The following is a 19,487-nucleotide window of genomic DNA, read 5'->3' as shown; positions in this document are numbered from 1 at the left end:
GGTCCCAGAGTGGATGGCCTTTCTCTGTTTCCTGAGTATAGATGTAAGTGATGTCTCATCACCAGCATAATTTTATTTATTTATTTATTTTTTTGCCACCAGATTGAATACTGCTCAGCCATTTCAGAGGGGCCCTGCACTGGCCACTTCCTGCTTTGTTTATTATTGAGTGCTTCCAAATAAGGAACACAAGTCTACGGAAAGGGAAATGATTCTCTGAATCTGCAAGAGGATGCTAAAGGACATCTTCAGCAATTTTAATAATAGCTTTGGAATAGATGCCTCTGTGGTCTTGAAATGATGACAAGTGAAACCCAAAAAAGCTTTATTGTCTCAGGGAACGTAGAGTCAAAACTGGGGAAGACAAACCTTAGACACATAGAATAAGAACTCGAGATGCCTACTTTTGTGTTGGCTTTGTTATTTTGTTAAAAAAAATTAAACATTAAATAAATACATGTGTACTTTTTATCCCATTATATATCTCTTACATATATTTTGTAATTTATATCTAATTTTGTAATCTATAACTAATTTTGAAAAAACCTTATATTTATAATACTTAGCCTAATACGTCTGTACTTTTAATACATATATGATAAAATGTGCAACCAAACATTATTTTGCTTTTTAAGTTCTGGGACAAAATTGTGTGACATGTAGCTCCTTGGCTCATATTTTTAAAAACATTTCTCAGATCCAGTTGCTTAAGGACACCAAAAAAATCCTGTTAGTCATCTGTTGTCAGTATTTTAAGATTTTCAGCGTGTTTAAGTCAGTTTCTGTATGGAAAATCTACAAACAAATCTAGTCATATCTGGAAATGTGCGTTTAGAGGAATGGATGCCTGTCATTTCCAGAAGGTGATAGTAACCTCTACTGCCATATCCCAGGGAGTGTTTGCTGTACAGATGCGGGGCAAGTGCCCATTTAGAAACAGGACTTTGGACCTAGGATGGATGAGACACACATGGAAGGGAAGAAATACAGTAGCAGGAGATAAAAGGAGGATAATTTCAGTTCCAAAATTTTCTTCCCTTATGTTTTTGATAAAATAGAAACTTGTGAGCTTCCAGGCATAGTTTATTGCCCATCTTTTCACTCTAATTGGAGAGGAGGTATATGGATAAAGGATGACGCTTTTTATGGCAGGGTTTTGATGTTGCTGGGATATTTAGGGATTATGTTTGTCCTTCAAGAGGGCCTTTTCATATGTTCCTCTAAGGACAGAAAAGGAAGGATGACAGGCTGAGCAAAGTCATATGAGCCAAAATGACACACAGGAGACAACTTAGCATCAGGCTTATAGGTTTTCTGGTGGGACCAAGAGATTTGAACAATCTATACCAGACACAGAGCCACATGGGACTAGCATAAATGAGTTTCCCCGCCATTGCTCCCAAACTGGCAAAAAGCTGCAGTTCGAGAGAGATTGAGCCTTTTCCTCCCTGGCAGTCAACAGACATATCTGGCAACACTCAAACTCCCAAGCACATCCAGAATGCAGGAGTGTGATGGCTCAGTGTCTTGAGTACAGCATCCTTGAATAAATGGTATCCCAGCTGCTCCCATTTACAGGAACTATTTAATCTCACTCCAAATAGCACTGGTGTCATCTCCCTGCTGTTTCAGTGCTGCTATGACCTTGCCATCAAGTCTTAGAATCGTGGAGATTGTGCTAAACATAAAAGGCTGAACTGAAGTAGATTGTGAAGTTAGAATGCAATAATTCTTGGACAATATACTGCTACTATCAAATGACTAATATAATGCTGTTTTACTGGGTAAATGTGTATTTTCATTTCTGGGAATAAATACTCTACATTTTTATGCCTTCTATATTGAATTTTTCAATATGGGCCAATGTGGGAAACTGTAGATTTCATAATAAATGTTTAAAAATATTATTCCACCACAGTAGAAAAATGAGCAAAAGACAAGAACAAGCAGTTCACATGTACACACACAAAATACAAATCACTGATGTGTACCTACAATGATGTCTAACCTTAATAGAAATCAAAGAAACGTGTATCAAGACAATGATGAAATGCAAATTTTTCCTTATCATATTGGCAAACGTAAGAAAGAATGATAATACTAAGAGTCGGTAGGTGTAGGAGGAAGTGCATATTTTTCTTTCTCTGGTGTTAGTACAAATTGTTTGCTCCTGGAGGTGATTTGAAAATATTTATCAAAATATAAATGTACATACTGTCTAACCTAGTGAGTTTATCTTTAAAAATTAATTCCCAAGATAAAATCAGATACATATGTAAAGACACTTGTATACAAGGGCTCAACATAACACTGTCTGTAGTACAAAACAATGCAAACAACTTAACTGTTTATCAATAAGAATTGCTTAAATAATTTATGGTATAAGCCAAACAATAGTTGGCTATGTAACCATAAATATAAAGCTATATTATGGAATGGATATTCAATGTATTGTTAAGTAAAAAAGAAAAAAGCTGTTTGTGAAATAGAAGGCATTGGAGAACAGACTTGTAAATTTTTGTGAGTGAAAGAATATCCACCAAAATGAGCATAGTCATAAGTGGCTTGTATGGGCAGACGGAGGTTCTGTGAATTTTTTCTTTCCCTTCTTTGTAGCTTTCTTTCTTGTGCGGGTTTGGTTCCTTGTTTGTTTACTTCTGATTCATTTATTCACCAAATTTACTGAGTACCTACCGCATACTAGATACTGTTCTAGACCCTTGACATACAATGGTAGACTGACAGCACTGGATAACAATCCCTATCTTCATGACACTTGCATTATGTTGCGGGGGAAGACAGAGAATCAAAAAAGTAAAACATAAACCAAATGGTATGTTAGATAATATCAGATGCCCAGGAGAATAAGGCTTCACTTATACAAACCAAGGAAAAGGACTGGTCAGGGAGCTCATCCATCTTCTCCCATACTCACTCCGGGCCTAGCACACTATATGGTCCAGAGAAAGGCTCAATCTCTTTTGGTGAATGAATTTAAGAAGGAGAATCCATTCAGAGCACTCTCTGGCCAGGGCACTATGCTGAAAGCATTCTACAAGACCTTCATTCCTGGGTTCTCCTCTCTTAGGTACAGACAGGTGATCTACCTTCATTCAAATCACACATTCTTTTCTTCAGACCCAGTAACATTCAGCTGATCTCTTTCTACCTTTCTTTATTCAATCACATTCTGGTTTGGCCTTCTTGAGATGAACAAAGTTCCTTGGACTAAACTCAATTCTTTATCGTTCAGTTTTTTTCCAATTATTTTGTAGGGTTGCTTATCTCCATGCATAGCTGACCCCATTTATTATATGTTGATGCCTCACAATGTCACATTGCCTTCATACTTTGGGGAAGTATTCTTAAGTTTCTCCACATAACTGCCACAAATCAAAACACATCTGGCAATAATAAATATGTTATTGCTGAGTGCCCTCCTTTATTTCCTTCTTTAGTTTGTATTTATTTGAATTTGTTCTTCTTAATGCCCCATGACTTCTTGTACCAGGAAAAATTAGTCAGATTATACAAGGAGAATGAGGAAAATTAGAAAGGCAGCAGGCAAAATAAATAATGAGTTTCCCCTCATATATATTATTTCAACTATTAATAAAAATGTTTTCTTGTGCACAGAGACGAATGTCAAGGGCAATTGGGATCTTGAAGCATGACAATGAAATTTAGGATACAGAGGACAAAGAAATACATATTCAGCAATTATCTTCCACCTGTCTTCACAAATGAATTGCTAACAGTGGCAGAGGAGGAATTAACACATACATAGATTAATATCAGAAATGGACATAATAAGCTTACACTGTTATTAATTATCACAGCCTAATGCCTTTTTAAGTAGATAAGCACAAATACAGTTTTGAAGTTGCATAATAAAGGCCATTTATGGATATCCTTATAGGAAGTTTGTTGCTTGAACATTTGAACTTACTGCTAAAACAAAAAGAGCAAATACTTTATCAGATCTCACAGTCACACTATTAAATAGTCTATCAGTTGTTATTGCAACAATCACAGGCCCTTCCAATAAAGTTAAGGAAGTCTGGCATTTTGCCTCAAATTCTCTATAGTCTCATTTTCCAATATGACACTGTTATTTGAGTTTTGAGTTTTATTTATCTCGAGAAACTGCTTCCTCGCCAGGAAAATGGATGTATTAACATTTGTCACCAAATCAGCTCTCAGAAATCAGCCAGAGAGGATTCTTACAAAATTCTTTGAGTTTCCTTGTATTATAAAAACACTGTTTAAGTAGCACATGTGGTCAGCTTCTTGATAGATTTTTGACAGCAAAACAAGCATCAATTACGAAGATACTAAGCCCTTTCCTTCAGTCTCAGTAAAGGACAAAAGTATTCATTTATTCCATGCCCTTGTTGCACAAATTATCTTATTTAATCCTTACTAGTCTGTAAGGAAAGTTATAATTATTATAATTTTACAAATACAATTAAGACTCAGAGACATCAAGTAACTTGTTCAAGGTCACACAGCCAGTACATGGCAGAATCAAAATTCAAACCCATATTTTATTGACTCTACCTTACACTTTTTTCCTCAAAAGGACAAAGTTTTCTTTTCCTAGAATCCGCCCAAAATGCATGTTCCTTTTGGCCATCTTCCCACACACCTGTCCCCAAAACATAAGTAAGGTATTTCTATCAGTATAATCTTTGAGGCTTCCAATTACTTTTTTAGGTTATTAGTATAATTCTTAGCCTATCTCCGCTCATCTACTGATTCATTTTGCAGGTATTTTTCTACTGTTTGTGCTTGAATATCCTGTTTTCTCTATTAGGGCTAAGAGTTATAAAGATATGCACCATAACTAACCTCCAGCACACATTGATCCTCAAAGAACCATGTCAGTAATGCATGGGATGAATGGCACAGTGTCCCCTAAACTTGAGAGGTTAGCTCTGACTTGGACACAACATTAAATACGTCTCATTCTGTTTTTTGAGTTTCCAAAAAGCAAAAGTTCACTCAAACCACTTCCAAACAAAGAGGGAGATTTATGCATTTTCAGAGAGGTTTCATGGGCCTCAGTAAAGCTGTACAACTGTGCTTCCGGAAGGCACAGAGCTGGGGCTGCTCACACAACCAGCTTCTCTCTCTTTCTCTCATAACATCTCCTCCCTGGTTGCTACACTTTCTTCTTTTTCTGATGATAAGCTGCCTCATCTTGCACATAGCCAGTAATTGTTGCCCCAGACAGATTCCTATAAAAGCTTTTACCTCTAGCAACCTCCCACCCCCACAACTGGCAACTTTTCATTCTATTTATGAAAGAAAATCTGATTTAGCCAGCTCATCTTTTCAAGACGGGACATACAGTCCTAGGTCGCTGACTAGTTTATGGATGGGCATCTCTAGGTTAGAGGTACCCCTAGTCCAATGCATTGCAGGGGGAGGGATGCAGATCTCCTCATTCACCACCTACTCTTTCTAAAAGGAGATATGCTGATGAGCAGATATCAAGAACTCTGTTGAATGCTCATATATTCAATTTCAGGTCTCTGTCTTCATGAGGTTTGCCTTCCCATCTCTTTTCCAAAGCACAAAGAGAGATTAGGTCCTCGACCTCAGCCTGACTTCTAATTAAATTTCAGCCATTCGCAGTGAGGATGTTGATAGAGGAAATGGGGTCACTTCATATAATAAATGGTAGTCATAGAACCTAAATGTAAAGGTACAAATTAAAGAGATTGTTTGAGAGGCAATGACTGTTACATGACATTAGTTTCAGCCTTGTTCTGGCAAAAGGAATTTCAGGCCATAATCTATACAGAGCCACTCAACTGACCATTTGGAGAACAGTTTGGAGTTTTTAGTTTGGCTCAGCCTGAGACTTGATAAATGGATTGATCTCTCATAGGTTGAATTCTGCAAGGAAAATGCTTGAAAAAAGTCTAGCTACCAAGCTAGGATTTGGTGTTATTTTAGTAACTAAATTTGATGAACAACGTGGTCATCTGTTAATATCTGGAGATTTATATAAAGACACTGAATTGGCCGCTAGCACATTAACCATTAATACTTTATCAATACAGCGGTGGAATAGAGAGGACTTAAAACATGTTACTGTAACCCAAAATGCACGTCTCACATCCGTTTCAATATTCGCTTTGCAATTCCGTTACTGATTGTCTCTGACAGCAGGGGTAGTCCAACTTTATGGGCAGTCTTTTCGTTTTATGGAGCTTTTCATGTGAAATATTAGAGAGTTGGTATTAGCGATTTCATAGACACAAGTTCTATCATTCATAAATCTTTTATCTTAAAATTGAAAGCATTTACTTTAAACGTGTTCTACAAATCTTTCATGGGAATAGAAGGTCATTTATGCACTATATGTGAGGTGACTGGACGAAGTATACTTTATGAAGTCTTTGGACCATTAACTCTAGATTTTTATTTTTCTTCATTTAGAAAAATGATACCTTTGAATGTTTTAATAGTATGATGGGAAAATCAGCTTCAGTGAATTTTCTCTTTGTGGTCACTGAGGTAGGTCATGAAGGTGATTGAAGTCTCCCAGCAGACTTTTAAATACTTGAAACTGAAAATATTTAAGGGTGTACCAAATGACTAGTGCTTTAATTTTTATTTATATTCTATTTTTGCTGTGGTTGTGATTATAGCCTCACCAAAGCGGGTGATCAGTAATGAATGTGTCCTGTTGGCAGATCCCTCCAGGGCTCTGATTCAATCTTTTGAGTTATGGGATGAGGACAAAATGAACTATTTTTCAAGCTTGTAAATATGTGACAAATGACAGTGCAAGAACTATTGATTCCAATCACAGTGATACAATGTTTCATAGTCAAGACTGACTCTGGCTTTACAAATTACTTGCAAGTTGAACAGTAAACCCATGCACAACATGCTTCAAACTGGATCAATCTTCAAGAATATTTGTGTCACTATTCACAAATTCCCAAATTGAAATGGACTTTTCTTCTATTTTTACATTAAAAGGGTGCTGCTGAGTTTTCCCTCAATCTTAAAAAAGGATGAGAAAAGCAGAACCTTTATAAAATTTCCAGTGACACTAGGCATATTTATCTGTGTTTATCCTTATTAGTTAAATGGGCATAAGCCAAATATAATTGAGAAAGGCCTCTTAAGAATATGAATGGTAAAACAGCTAAACATTCATAGGTACTGCCTAGCTCAGTGCTCAAATCCTATTCAAACATATCTGGAGACAAAAAGAAATTCAACTGATTGGAATATGAGACACTCCAGTAGCCAGCCATTGTGTTCCTGTTTGGGGCAATTGGATTTGACTCTTTTTGAAAATGTCCCTAACACAACAGGCATTTATATGTAAAGATGGACTCTCTTAAAAACCTCTTCCTTTGGATCCTGAGCTCTTCTGTGTTGAAGAAAACTTTTCCTACGTCCCCACTATACAAACCCAGTACATTACACTTTTGCGGGGGGGTGATGTTGGGGGGCAGAAGTCATTTTTGCAGCAATTGCTCAAAGGCAGCATCTGTACATCCCCCCACAACTCCCACCCCCACTCCCACTGTGGAGCACCATTTTAAACTTGCCCTCAGGTTGTCATGGCATATTTTATGCAGGACTGACCTTAGCGGAGACTCTGCATGCTGATGTATTATTGACCTTCTTCCCCACTGCTTACTCAAACAGGCCATCTGGGTACCAGGACGGTACAGGAAATATGTCCAACTTTCCAGACCAAGATAAAAATAAATAAAACGGAGTGGGGTGAGGGAAGGAAGGCTCTTTAGCTCGCACTGTGGATGCGTTTATTCAGACATAATTGGCGTGGATCTGGCCAAGGCACAGTTTCCTTCTTTGTCTAACCCACTGGCCCCCTAGCCCCTCCCCTCATTGTTCATCTCCATCAAAGTGTGATGAGCCACTAAGCAAGAAAGGAGGGCAGAGACGCGGCAAAACCACCACCAGCCCCTCATTACGCTCACACTTCTGGAGACGCTGGAATTAGCTAGGGTGTGTGTGGCCGCTGAGTTCAGCAGATGACCCGATCTCAGCCCAGTCCACACTAGGGGGACCTGCTTCTTCCTTCCACTCTCTCCTCAGCCTGCAGTAGGTGCTAGGTATCTGAGACCCGAGAGCCAGGTTATTGTGGCTGGGGTTTTGACTGGTGGAACAGCCCTCAGCTCTCACCCAGTTGAGTCACAAAGGACCCATCCTTGCCAGGCCAGGCCGGGACATCTACAGCCTCCCCAGGGAATTTTTCCCAGGCTGGAATCCATTTTTAGCAGCTTCACTTGGTTGATCAATGGCTTCCACTCAATGGGCATATTGACAGGAAACTAGTTCAGAATGTCAGATAAAGTTCATAGCCCACCGCTCTCTAGGCCCCAAAGAGAACCATGAGTTCCCTGCAGTACAGGAACACCACCAAATGCGGGGGGGATTCTGTTTAACCTCAGTTCCTGGTCTTCAAAAGGCTTTGTTTACTCTCTTTTTCTGGAGGAAAGTTCTGTTTGTGTACAGTTTAGTTAAGGAGAATAAAAGACATTGGACACAATATTCAGCACGGTTGTTTTTCCTAGCATAGAAATGCAGTAGCCATTAGCCAAGAGCAAGACACCACCTCCTTTGAAGCCTTCTCTGCCCCCTGTCCCCACCTACTCCCTCTCCTCTCCTTTGTTCTTCCATGACACTTCGTAGACACCATTAAAATAGCCTCCTTAATAGAATTTGTTGTTCATCTATGTCTACCCTTTTGAAAGTACAAAGGACTAAGACTGTACTTTAATCATCTATGCCAAGTCAGCCCTATGCCTGGTATACAGGACAAACTCAATAAATATTTGCTGAATACATGACTAGTCACTATTTCGAATTCAGCAGTGTACCAAGCAGTTAAGTTAATCATCACAGTCATCTGAAGAGCTATATACTACCCTTACCTCCATTGTACAGATTAGAAAATTGAGGCCCAAGAGGCTAAATAGTAGCTAGAAGAATGTGAGCCAGGATTTTCATTTGGTCAGTATCATTACATGGCCTGGGTTCTAGCTGCAATGCCACACAATAATGAATGAATGCTCATACCTCTCTTTCTATACAAACAGGAAATGCATGTTTCCATTTTTGGAATAAGTAAGGATGGTTCTATTTCATCACTGGGTTTATTGAGTTTGTGACAGTTCCTCAGCATCTTTGGGGAGATAGAATACAAATTGTAAAATCCAGCCAGGCTCTGTTCTATTTGTTCAGGCTTTTTTACGGCAGCCAAATTGAGAGGCACAAGCACAGATTTAGGATATGCATTGCCTGTGTCTTCAGCAAAGCGGACTGGTCTGTGGCATACAGGCCCAGTGGGTCAGTGGATATTGTTGTTTTAACACGCAGATTCTTCAGCATACAAACTTCCTCCAGGTATCTCCTCTTGGTAGCAGTGTGACTTTGAATCAGCAAAATGAAACCTCTCTGACCCTCAGTTTCCTCATCTATAAAATGGGATAAGTAAATGGTGTTTTCCTTACCAGAATGCTGTAAGGAATAAATGAGATGAGACATATCGAACACTTACCACAGTAACTGGTGCACTTTTAGGAGTTTAATTAATGATGGGTATCTTTATGACATTCAAACATCTGAATATTTGAATATCTTTGAATACCTATTCAAAATAAATAAAAATTACCAAGGATAACGTAGGCAAGATAATGAACAAAACATAAAAGAGATAAACATATCTGTCTCATGCACAGTGAACTACACACTTAAAATGATTAAAATAGCAAATGTTATGTACAATAAATAAAAAATAAAAAACTCAGCATGCATCAATCCAATGAAGACCTCACAATAAAACCTCAACGTACATCAACGCAAAAACAAACCAAAACAAAAAACCCAGAACAAAACTGCTAATGCTGTGGAAAATTCTAAACATGCAAACTGATATGTTTTTGTTGTTGTTAACATTTAATGCTGCTAAACGTTTCAATTAAAATCATTTTGTGCCAAGTAATGAGAGCATTTAACCAAATTTTTATTATATTGCTTGGACTCTTTCATATTCTCTTTGCATTGCCAAGAACTAAATAGGCGCTCAAAGAGGTTTTTATTAGTATACATTTTAGCACATTTAATGTTTTCAAAGCACATATTTTATGACATTTTCATCTCGACTCATGGAAGTTAATGTGTCTCATGGTCTGGGACAAGCGGTGAGTTTGGTGTGGTGCCTTGCTGAGGGTCTGTGGTTGCCTGTCTAGAAAAGCCTGACTGCCTGTTTAGAAAAGCCAGACTTACCAGGCTTAGGAGAACAAGGGCAGAGCTTCCCACTGAAGACCTAGACACGGCAATGCACTGGCTGCCTCCAACCTGTGGCTATCAGGTCCCCATTTCACATACCCAGCCTGCTTCTCCCTTAACACACTGAGTTGTCTCACAAATAGTAGCGTTTGCCATCCTGACACCTCTGTTATCTGAAGTCAGGACATGTGACCTAACTTTGGTTTGGTTTGACTCTATCTGAGGAATGGTAAGAAGGACCAAGAAAGCTTCCAATACTTCCAAGGTTAAGACCAAGGGACGAGATGGAGAACTGTGGGAAGAGGGGTGAAGTGCTAGCCTTACAGCATGTTAGAAGCCCTCCCTGTGTCCAAGAAGACATCTCTAGCCTTATATTGCAAAATGACGAGCACTCAGCAACATCAAGAGCCTTCTTTGCAGAGATTTAAGGCAAGCACAGGACCTAAAATTTCAGGTGGGCCAAATAATCACCGATCTAGAATGCTGCTGCAAGGAGTTAGGTGATGGGGGCACAGTTTCCTGGGCTGTCTAACACAGGGTGAAAGCTATGTGTTGGAGACTATTTATCTGAAAGCCATACATAAGATGGAATTGGGTGGGAGTGGTAGAGGCCAACCTGAGGTAGTAAATGTGGCCATATTTAAAAGATCCCCAGCCAGACTCCTTCATCCCTGACTTTACAATTTACTTCCAAGCTACCACTCGGGGGTCTGCATTTATCTACTCCCCTCCCTTCATCCAAGCTGAACATAGCAATGGCCTCTGTCTTTCAGACTTGAGATTTCAATATCATCTTCTACTGTTTCTTATCCCACAGTAGCCGCATCTATCTGATTGCCATTTACGTAGACATTCTTGCTAATTCATTTAATTTTAACAGTGTGCTTAACATCATATGATGAACCCCTATCATCTGTGTGCTGTCATCTCCAACCACACTGCCAAACCCCTCATCTAGACCCAGATTACGTCTCATCTGGTTGACTTCTGCCTCTTCCCTTTTCCTCTTTGGGCCTCTATTCATCAAATTTCACTACCCGTCTAGCAAATGTACAGAGCACAGAGAATTGGAATATTAGTACCAGGCAGGGCCTTGAAATTCATCTAGTCCAACACTTTTTATTTATTAAAGAGGAAACTGAGGCTCTGAGAGGTAAAGGCACATAGGAAGGGGGATGAACTTTAAAAGCAGACCTTCTGACCTCCACAGGGGGACTCTCCTACTTCTCTATTGTCCTGTGTGAATATAACCTACCACAATTCTGCCAGCCAACAAAGCACAAAACCAGGACCCACAGAGCTGGAAACAAATAGTCTAAACTTGCTGCTTAGTAAAAATAAGAAAGTCAAATTTTGTATAATGTGTATCCATACCTAGGTAGATACTCCTTGGCTTCCTTCCATTAGAGCCCAGGGCCACCATCTAAAGAACCACTTGACACATTAAAGTGAGGGTTGACAAACTACCGTCCATAAGCCAAACCAGCCAGCTGCCTATTTTTGTAAGTAAAGTCTTCTTGGAACACAGTCATGCCGACTTGCTGATATATTGTCTATGGTTGCTCTTGAGCTACAATGGTGGTGTTGAGCAGTTGTGACAGAGACTGTGTAACCTGCAAAATCTAAAATATTTTCTATCTGGCCTTTTACAGAAGATGTTTGTGGAACTTGTGTTAGACCATTGCAGCTTTATGCAGAGCCAAAATGGATTCTACCTCCCGTGTAAGGGAATTCTGTGAAACTTGTCCAAGGTGGTGGCTGGTTGGCTTAGAGTTTGTGGCCACAGCCGGTTGTCGTCCTTATCTTCACATCTTTTCTTCCTAATTTGTAAGTTCCTCTGATGCCAGTTCATTCCAAGTCTTTTGCAACTCTGCAGGCAGAAGCTCACAGATATGATTCCACCTGCCAGTACTCCACCACCGTCTTCTAACGGCCTCTCTGCCTCCAGTCTAAGGCCTCCAAGTTGCCTCCCATGCAGCTTCCTGCATGCCTCTTTATGTACTAACTCTCCAGGACATGTACCCAGCCAGGTCACCCTGCCCCATGCTGAATGTTCCAGTGAATATTCTTACCCCACTGCCTCAGGTAAGGCCGCTTCACCCACCTGCTCATCAGAATCTCGGGATGCTTTTTAAAAGCACGTATGTCTAGGTCTCACTTCAAAAGCACTTAATCTGAAAAGCATATATTCTTTTGCATGTCACTTCCTTAGAGAAGTCTTCCCTGCCTGTTCCATCTGAAGGAGAGTGTCACCAATGCCCTCTATTTTATTCAGTGTTATTTCTTTGTTTTGTTTCCTTAATACCATGTATCAGGATCTGACAGATTAGAATATTTGTTTACTTCTTTATTGTCTATCTTTTCACCAAATAATATGAGCTTCATGAGAGTATGGACAGTATCCTGAGCACCAAGAACAGTATGACCCATAGTGAGGCCTCTAACCATCTGTCCCACCTGTTTGGGTACTCTTCCCTGATGTGGCCCCAGCATTCCCTCTGGCTTACCTGTCCAGCTTTAACCTCTCCTGTTTCCATGCTCAGGTTCCCCCTCTACCACCCTCTTAGAGTGGCCCAACTGCACAGTGCCACCTGCAGGCTGCTAGGCTGCCAGGCTGCCATGCCGTGGTCCTATCACCTCCTCTATCTTTAATATCCTCTCCTCCACATCAGCCTGGGAAGCCCATAAATGCTCCTTCATAAGCCACTTCAAAGTCACCTCCTTCCCTGAGCCGTGTAAGCAGATGTGATTACCTCCACCTCGGAGCCAGCAAAGTGCCCCTTATAGAGAATCCCATTGCTGTGGCTGTTTAGTACATGAAGACCTGTTGTCACTAAACTGGAGGCTCCCTGCAGGCTTTCACTTCTGTATTCCCAGAGCCTAATGGTATACTTGGCAATATTGAATCCTAAATAAATGTTTTTTGAATAAAATAAGAGATGGGTGAAAAAAGAAGGTAACGAAGTAAGGGAGTAAGGGGAGAGGGAGGTTGAAGAGAGGAAAGAAGGGACAGAGAGAGGTAGAGAAAGAAGAGAAGGAAAGATGAAGAAACCAACTTCTCCCATGGAGTCTTCTGCCTCAGTGCTCATGGTTTGGCGCTGCCTTGCTAAACCGGCTGGCTCTATGTTGTAAAGCTAAGACAGCAGCCCCAGGGACATGATCTGCTCAGTGGTTTCTTTTTAACACTCTACAGTTTGTCTCTGCAAAATCTTCTTGCAGATGTGGCCAAGAGGAAGAAGGGAAGGGTCTCCTTCAGCAGACAGTGTGATATTTGAAAAACCATTTCCTTGCATGCCTCCAAATCACAGGCCTGGTAACATGGCAGAGTTCTTTGCCGTTTTGCTTATGGCAAAGAACACTGCCAGTGGGGGCCAGGAAGCCTCAAAATTAACTGGCTTCCAGTGCTTTTACAGATCCTTTGCTCTTCTCCAAGGTGTAACAAGATTGTCATTTGTGGCATTGATGTGGTTTGTATGTTTTTCCTCTCCAAATCTCATGTGGAGTTGTGATTCCCAATGTTGTAGGTGGCACCTGGCAGGAGATGATTAGATCATGAGAGCAGATCCCTCTTGAATGCTTTAGCACCATCCTCTTGGTGATGAGCGAGTCCTTCCTTCCTAAGTTAATTCACGTCACATCTGGTTGTTTAGGGCTTCCCCCTCCTCTCTCTCTTGCTTCTGCTTTCACCATGTGAGATGCTGGCTCCTCTTTGCCTTCTGCCATGATTGTATGTTTCCTGAGGCCTCACCAGAAGCAGATTCTGGCACCATGCTTCCTGCACAGTCTGGAGAACCATGAGCCAGTTAATTGTCTTTTCTTTATAAATTAACTCATCTCAGATATTTCTCCATAACAATGCAAGAACAGACTAACATATGCATTGAGTGTTTTAATTAAATATTTTATGACACCCTTAGGACGGACCAAGGTGAGAAACTAATACAGGAAATTTTTTTTCAGATGGAGAAGTATTGGAAATTGTTCTTCTCTATATTGAAACATTGTCTTCTCCAGTAAATAGGAATTTTCACTTATGTCAAGGATGCATACAAGAGAGAACAGAGAGCCTGCTAGTGAGGAACTTGCATGCACTCTGAAGGGCATTTTGCATATGGCTATTTCTGATAATATACCTTTGAAAATACAGCTCTATTATGGATGCATTTCATTAGTGAAAAAGGGGACATTTCTCTGTATTAATGAAATAGAGTTAAGTTCCAATCATATGAACCTGCCATAAATATACAGTTCTAACTGATAGAGTTTTTACACTTTCATTGATGATAAAAAATGGCTTCCTGATTAAAAGAGAAATTCAAGCTGCTTCTTAGAAGAATAGTTGGGAGGAAAAGGAACATAAAATAAAGATGTATTGCAGAGGATAGCAGACCTATGCAAGTTTCACATTTTTCTTAAATGCACATGACAGGGCTCCAGTAGAAAGCCCCCTGGGAAATAATTTACAGTGGGTGAAACCAAGGCTCAGACAAGTTAATTGAACTTGCCCTGAGTCACTCTACAGATTTGTAGTGGGAATAAGATTTGAACCCAGAGCTACTGAGTTACGATGCTTTTGCCCACCTTAGAAACATCCACAATATACAGGGACATCGGGAACACGATTGCACTGGAAAACCTGGCTGCTACAGTTGAACTCTACTGCTAATTCTGCTGGGCCATATCTCACAGCACCCTGGTCATGTATTGAGTTGTACTGTTGACTGGTCATTGTCATTCTCCTCCCAGATGTGCAATAAGGCTGCAGTCATTTATTTATGCAGTTTTTTTTTTTTTTTTTGCTTTAATGCTATGTTTTTTTTCTTTTTAGTTTAAAAAGAAATTTTAAAAGGAAACCTTGTTATATAGTTAAATTTTTCTAATTTGGGCCCCATTAAATCCAGGACTTGTGGTAATTGTACCCAAACAGAAGTTTTGTATTGTTTTTAACTACAAACCACTGCTCAAGGAAATAAAAGAGGATACAAACAAATGGAAGAACATTCCATGTTCATGGGTAGGAAGAATCAATATCGTGAAAATGGCCATACTGTCCAAGGTAATTTACAGATTCAATGCCATCCCCATCAAAGCTACCAATGCCTTTCTTCACAGAATTGGAAAAAACTACTTTAAAGTTCATATGGAACCAAAAAAGAGCCCACATCGCCAAGTCAATCCTAAGCCAAAAGAACAAAGCTGGAGGCATCACCCTACCTGACTTCAAACTATACTACAAGGCTACAGTAACCAAAACAGCATGGTACTGGTACCGAAACAGAGATATAGATCAATGGAACAGAACAGAGCCCTCAGAAGTAATGCCGCATATCTACAACTATCTGATCCTTGACAAACCTGAGAAAAACAAGCAATGGGGAAAGGATTCCCTATTTAATAAATGGTGCTGGGAAAACTGGCTAGCCATATGTAGAAAGCCGAAACTGGATCCCTTCCTTACACCTTATACAAAAATCAATTCAAGATGGATTAAAGACTTAAACGTTAGACCTAAAACCATAAAAACCCTAGAAGAAAACCTAGGCAATACCATTCAGGACATAGGCATGGGCAAGGACTTCATGTCTAAAACACCAAAAGCAATGGCAACAAAAGACAAAATTGACAAATGGGATCTAATTAAACTAAAGAGCTTCTACACAGCAAAAGAAACTACCATCAGAGTGAACAGGCAACCTACAAAATGGGAGAAAATTTTCGCAACCTACTCATCTGACAAAGGGCTAATATCCAGAATCTACAATGAACTCAAACAAATTTACAAGAAAAAAACAAACAACCCCATCAAAAAGTGGGCAAAGGACATGAACAGACACTTCTCAAAAGAAGACATTTATGCAGCCAAAAAACACATGAAAAAATGCCATCAGAGAAATGCAAATCAAAACCACAATGAGACACCATCTCACACCAGCTAGAATGGCAATCATTAAAAAGTCACGAAACAACAGGTGCTGGAGAGGATGTGGAGAAATAGGAACACTTTTACACTGTTGGTGGGACTGTAAACTAGTTCAACCATTGTGGAAGTCAGTGTGGCGATTCCTCAGGGATCTAGAACTAGAAATACCATTTGACCCAGCCATCCCATTACTGGGTATATACCCAAAGGACTATAAATCATGCTGCTATAAAGACCCATGCACACGTATGTTTATTGCGGCACTATTCACAATAGCAAAGACTTGGAACCAACCCAAATGTCCATCAATGATAGACTGGATTAAGAAAATGTGGCACATATACACCATGGAATACTATGCAGCCATAAAAAATGATGAGTTCATGTCCTTTGTAGGGACATGGATGAAATTGGAAATCATCATTCTCAGTAAACTAGCGCAAGAACAAAAAACCAAACACCCCATATTCTCACTCATAGGTGGGAATTGAACAATGAGATCACATGGACACAGGAAGGGGAACATCACACTCTGGGGACTGTTGTGGGGTAGGGGGATGGGGGAGGGATAGCACTGGGAGATATACCGAATGCTAGATGACGAGTTAGTGGGTGCAGCGCACCAGCATGGCACATGTATACATATGTAACTAACCTGCACAATGTGCACATGTACCCTAAAACTTAAAGTATAATAATAAAAGGAAAAAAAAAGAAAAGATGAACTAAGCAAATTAATAGCATAAATAAATGACATATTTAAGTTATTTAAATATAACCATGTATTTTTTTAAATGTTGGCAGGGGATGGTTTGCAATGAATATGCTGCATAATAATAATAACTGCCATATACCAAGTGTCTGTTCCAAAGAAAGAATAAGAGATAACGTAATGTATCATCAACTTTGGTCTCTACAAAAAGCCTGTAAGGTAGTCCAATTTTATAGATAAGAAAACTAAGGAAGAGATTAATTGACTTATCCAAGGTCCTTCATCAAGGATTCAGACCCAGGTATGTCTGGCTCCAAAGCCCATTTTCTCCTCTGGATGCTGCATTGCAAAAATTTCTGATCTTCCGCAGGTCCCGGACCCTTACAAGAATCTAATAAAAGGTGAGAAACAGAACACACTCATAATGTTGCATGATTTCCAGAGGTTTTCCAACTAAAGAACCCTTGCACTACTGCCAATTTATAAACTTCTCCCTTTCTGTTCACAAAAAATCATCATCCAGCACAAATCATTTTGTTAATCTTATGTTTTCTAGATAGCTGTGTATTGGAAAGCAACACCCATGTTTATTTACAAATAGATTAAGTCTGACTTTTAATTAATTCCTTCTTAGTTGATGTTAATAAAGTTGTATTCTACAAAGATAGAGTTTAGTATATCCTTAACAATAATTGACAATTTACCCAACTATTTTATTTTAGGCCATATCCTGATTGTGCCTTGAATTGATCCAATGCAAAGCTGGTTCATTGTGACAGTAGAGTGGCTCCTGTATGTTCCAGATCAGAGGTTGCAAACTGGAGACTGAATGCAGCGCTGGGTAGAGCCATACTGGAGCCTGAGACAAAAGAAAGTAATGCTAATACTGATTCCATCTTCATTTTAAGATTTTGATTTTTTTTCAAAATGAAGTTTTTGCTTTAATTTTGATTTTACCATATTGCATTAAGATATTATTTATTTTGATTGCTAAATGTTTGGGTGCTCCCTTAAATTTACACCTGAGATGGGCAGCTCATTTACCTCACCCTAATCCCCATCTTGGGTGAAGGAAGGGCTAAATGTGGCCACAGGAGTGGTCTTAAAAGTAGGACATTTCCCATGAAAATCAGTATTTCTGGCATCCCTTGTAAAAATCACAATACCTGGCAATATTGGACTTGTATTTCCACAGGGCAAACCTCAACTATGGTTTCCTGTCAATGGCAGCTGCCTCCAATGGCGGGGGTTGGGGGGTGAGTGCCCTCCTATTCTCTGAAGCCCCCTGGCTCCCTCTCAGTTCAGTTACCTGGTCCCTGTAGGCATTTGAATTGAGCATTCTGGGGCTAGACCAGGTGGAGAATGTATAAATGTTCATCTCTAACCTTCATAAAACTTGTTCAGCCATAGCCTGTAACATTCTTTCAGGATTACCAATGTGCCACCCTTGACATTAAATCAGAAGATAAGCTCACTGCCAGAAAGACCCTAGGGAAAACACCATTGACCGGCATTGAACCATCATCAACTGCAGTACTGAGGTTGCATGTAACATGTTGTTCATGCCAAGCAAAAGTGTTATTTTTTCATTTTAAGGACTTAAGCTACTTTTATTATCCCTAAGATTTTTTGAGTGCTTACAACATGCCTAACTCTGCGCTGAAAGCTTTACATATATGGTATTATTTAATTATTATAAGAATAGCATGAGATGCAGTAATATCCCCATTTTATAGGTCCAGAAACTGAATTACTAGAAGGTTAAGAAAATTGCCCAAGGACATATAGGCAATAGGCAGAGGAATCTGAACTCAAACCCAAGATGGATGACACCAAAACCCTATGCTTCTTCCCACTATGAATGCTGCCTCTCTGTGCCCTGCTGTTATCTTTAATAATAGACAACCTGCCTCCTAACTTCGCTAATTGCTCTTTGCTGTCAGTGATGTTAACGTTTCACAAGCACATGGAATTTGATCCAAGTGCATACAACAGCTGCCTATTGTATTAAATTCACTTTAAGAGCCTATGTTCCTTGTTTTTGTGCCTTTTTTTTATACCAGATTAATTTTTCAGAGGTTAATCACATGGCACTTATTTTAATTATGCCTTTCTAGTCACAACAAATGACAGCATTTGACTTCTTGTAGCCTTCCTTTGTATTGTGTGACCAATGAGATTATTAATAAATGCTTTTTTATTATGTAGTCATGCTGTAGGTGCCCACAGGGTATGGGCTGGCCTCATGTATTTTATTCTGGGTGCAGTGTCAGCAGGGCCTTGCGGATTTGCTAATGAGCTAAATCCGGTTAGTGCCACATGCCCTGGACTGCCAGAGATCTTTTAAATACATCATTGCTCTCAGAGACTCAGCTGGGTTCAGTATGAGAGAGATTAACTTCTCATTCCAATTAACAGAGAGTCATACTGCTGGAGAGAGGGTTGCTTATGTAGCCCCAAACCTAGGACCCTCTGACTGATGAACTACTGACCAGTCAACAACAAACCCGGACTTGTGAAAGGATGGCCTCAAGAAAGGATTTTTTTATTATCATTATTTGTTTT

Source organism: Homo sapiens, chromosome 15 (assembly GCF_000001405.40).
Source record: "Homo sapiens chromosome 15, GRCh38.p14 Primary Assembly".
In the NCBI taxonomy this organism is placed as follows: domain Eukaryota; kingdom Metazoa; phylum Chordata; class Mammalia; order Primates; family Hominidae; genus Homo; species Homo sapiens.
The sequence above is the reverse complement of the archived record's forward strand: the minus strand, read 5'-3'. Positions refer to the sequence as shown.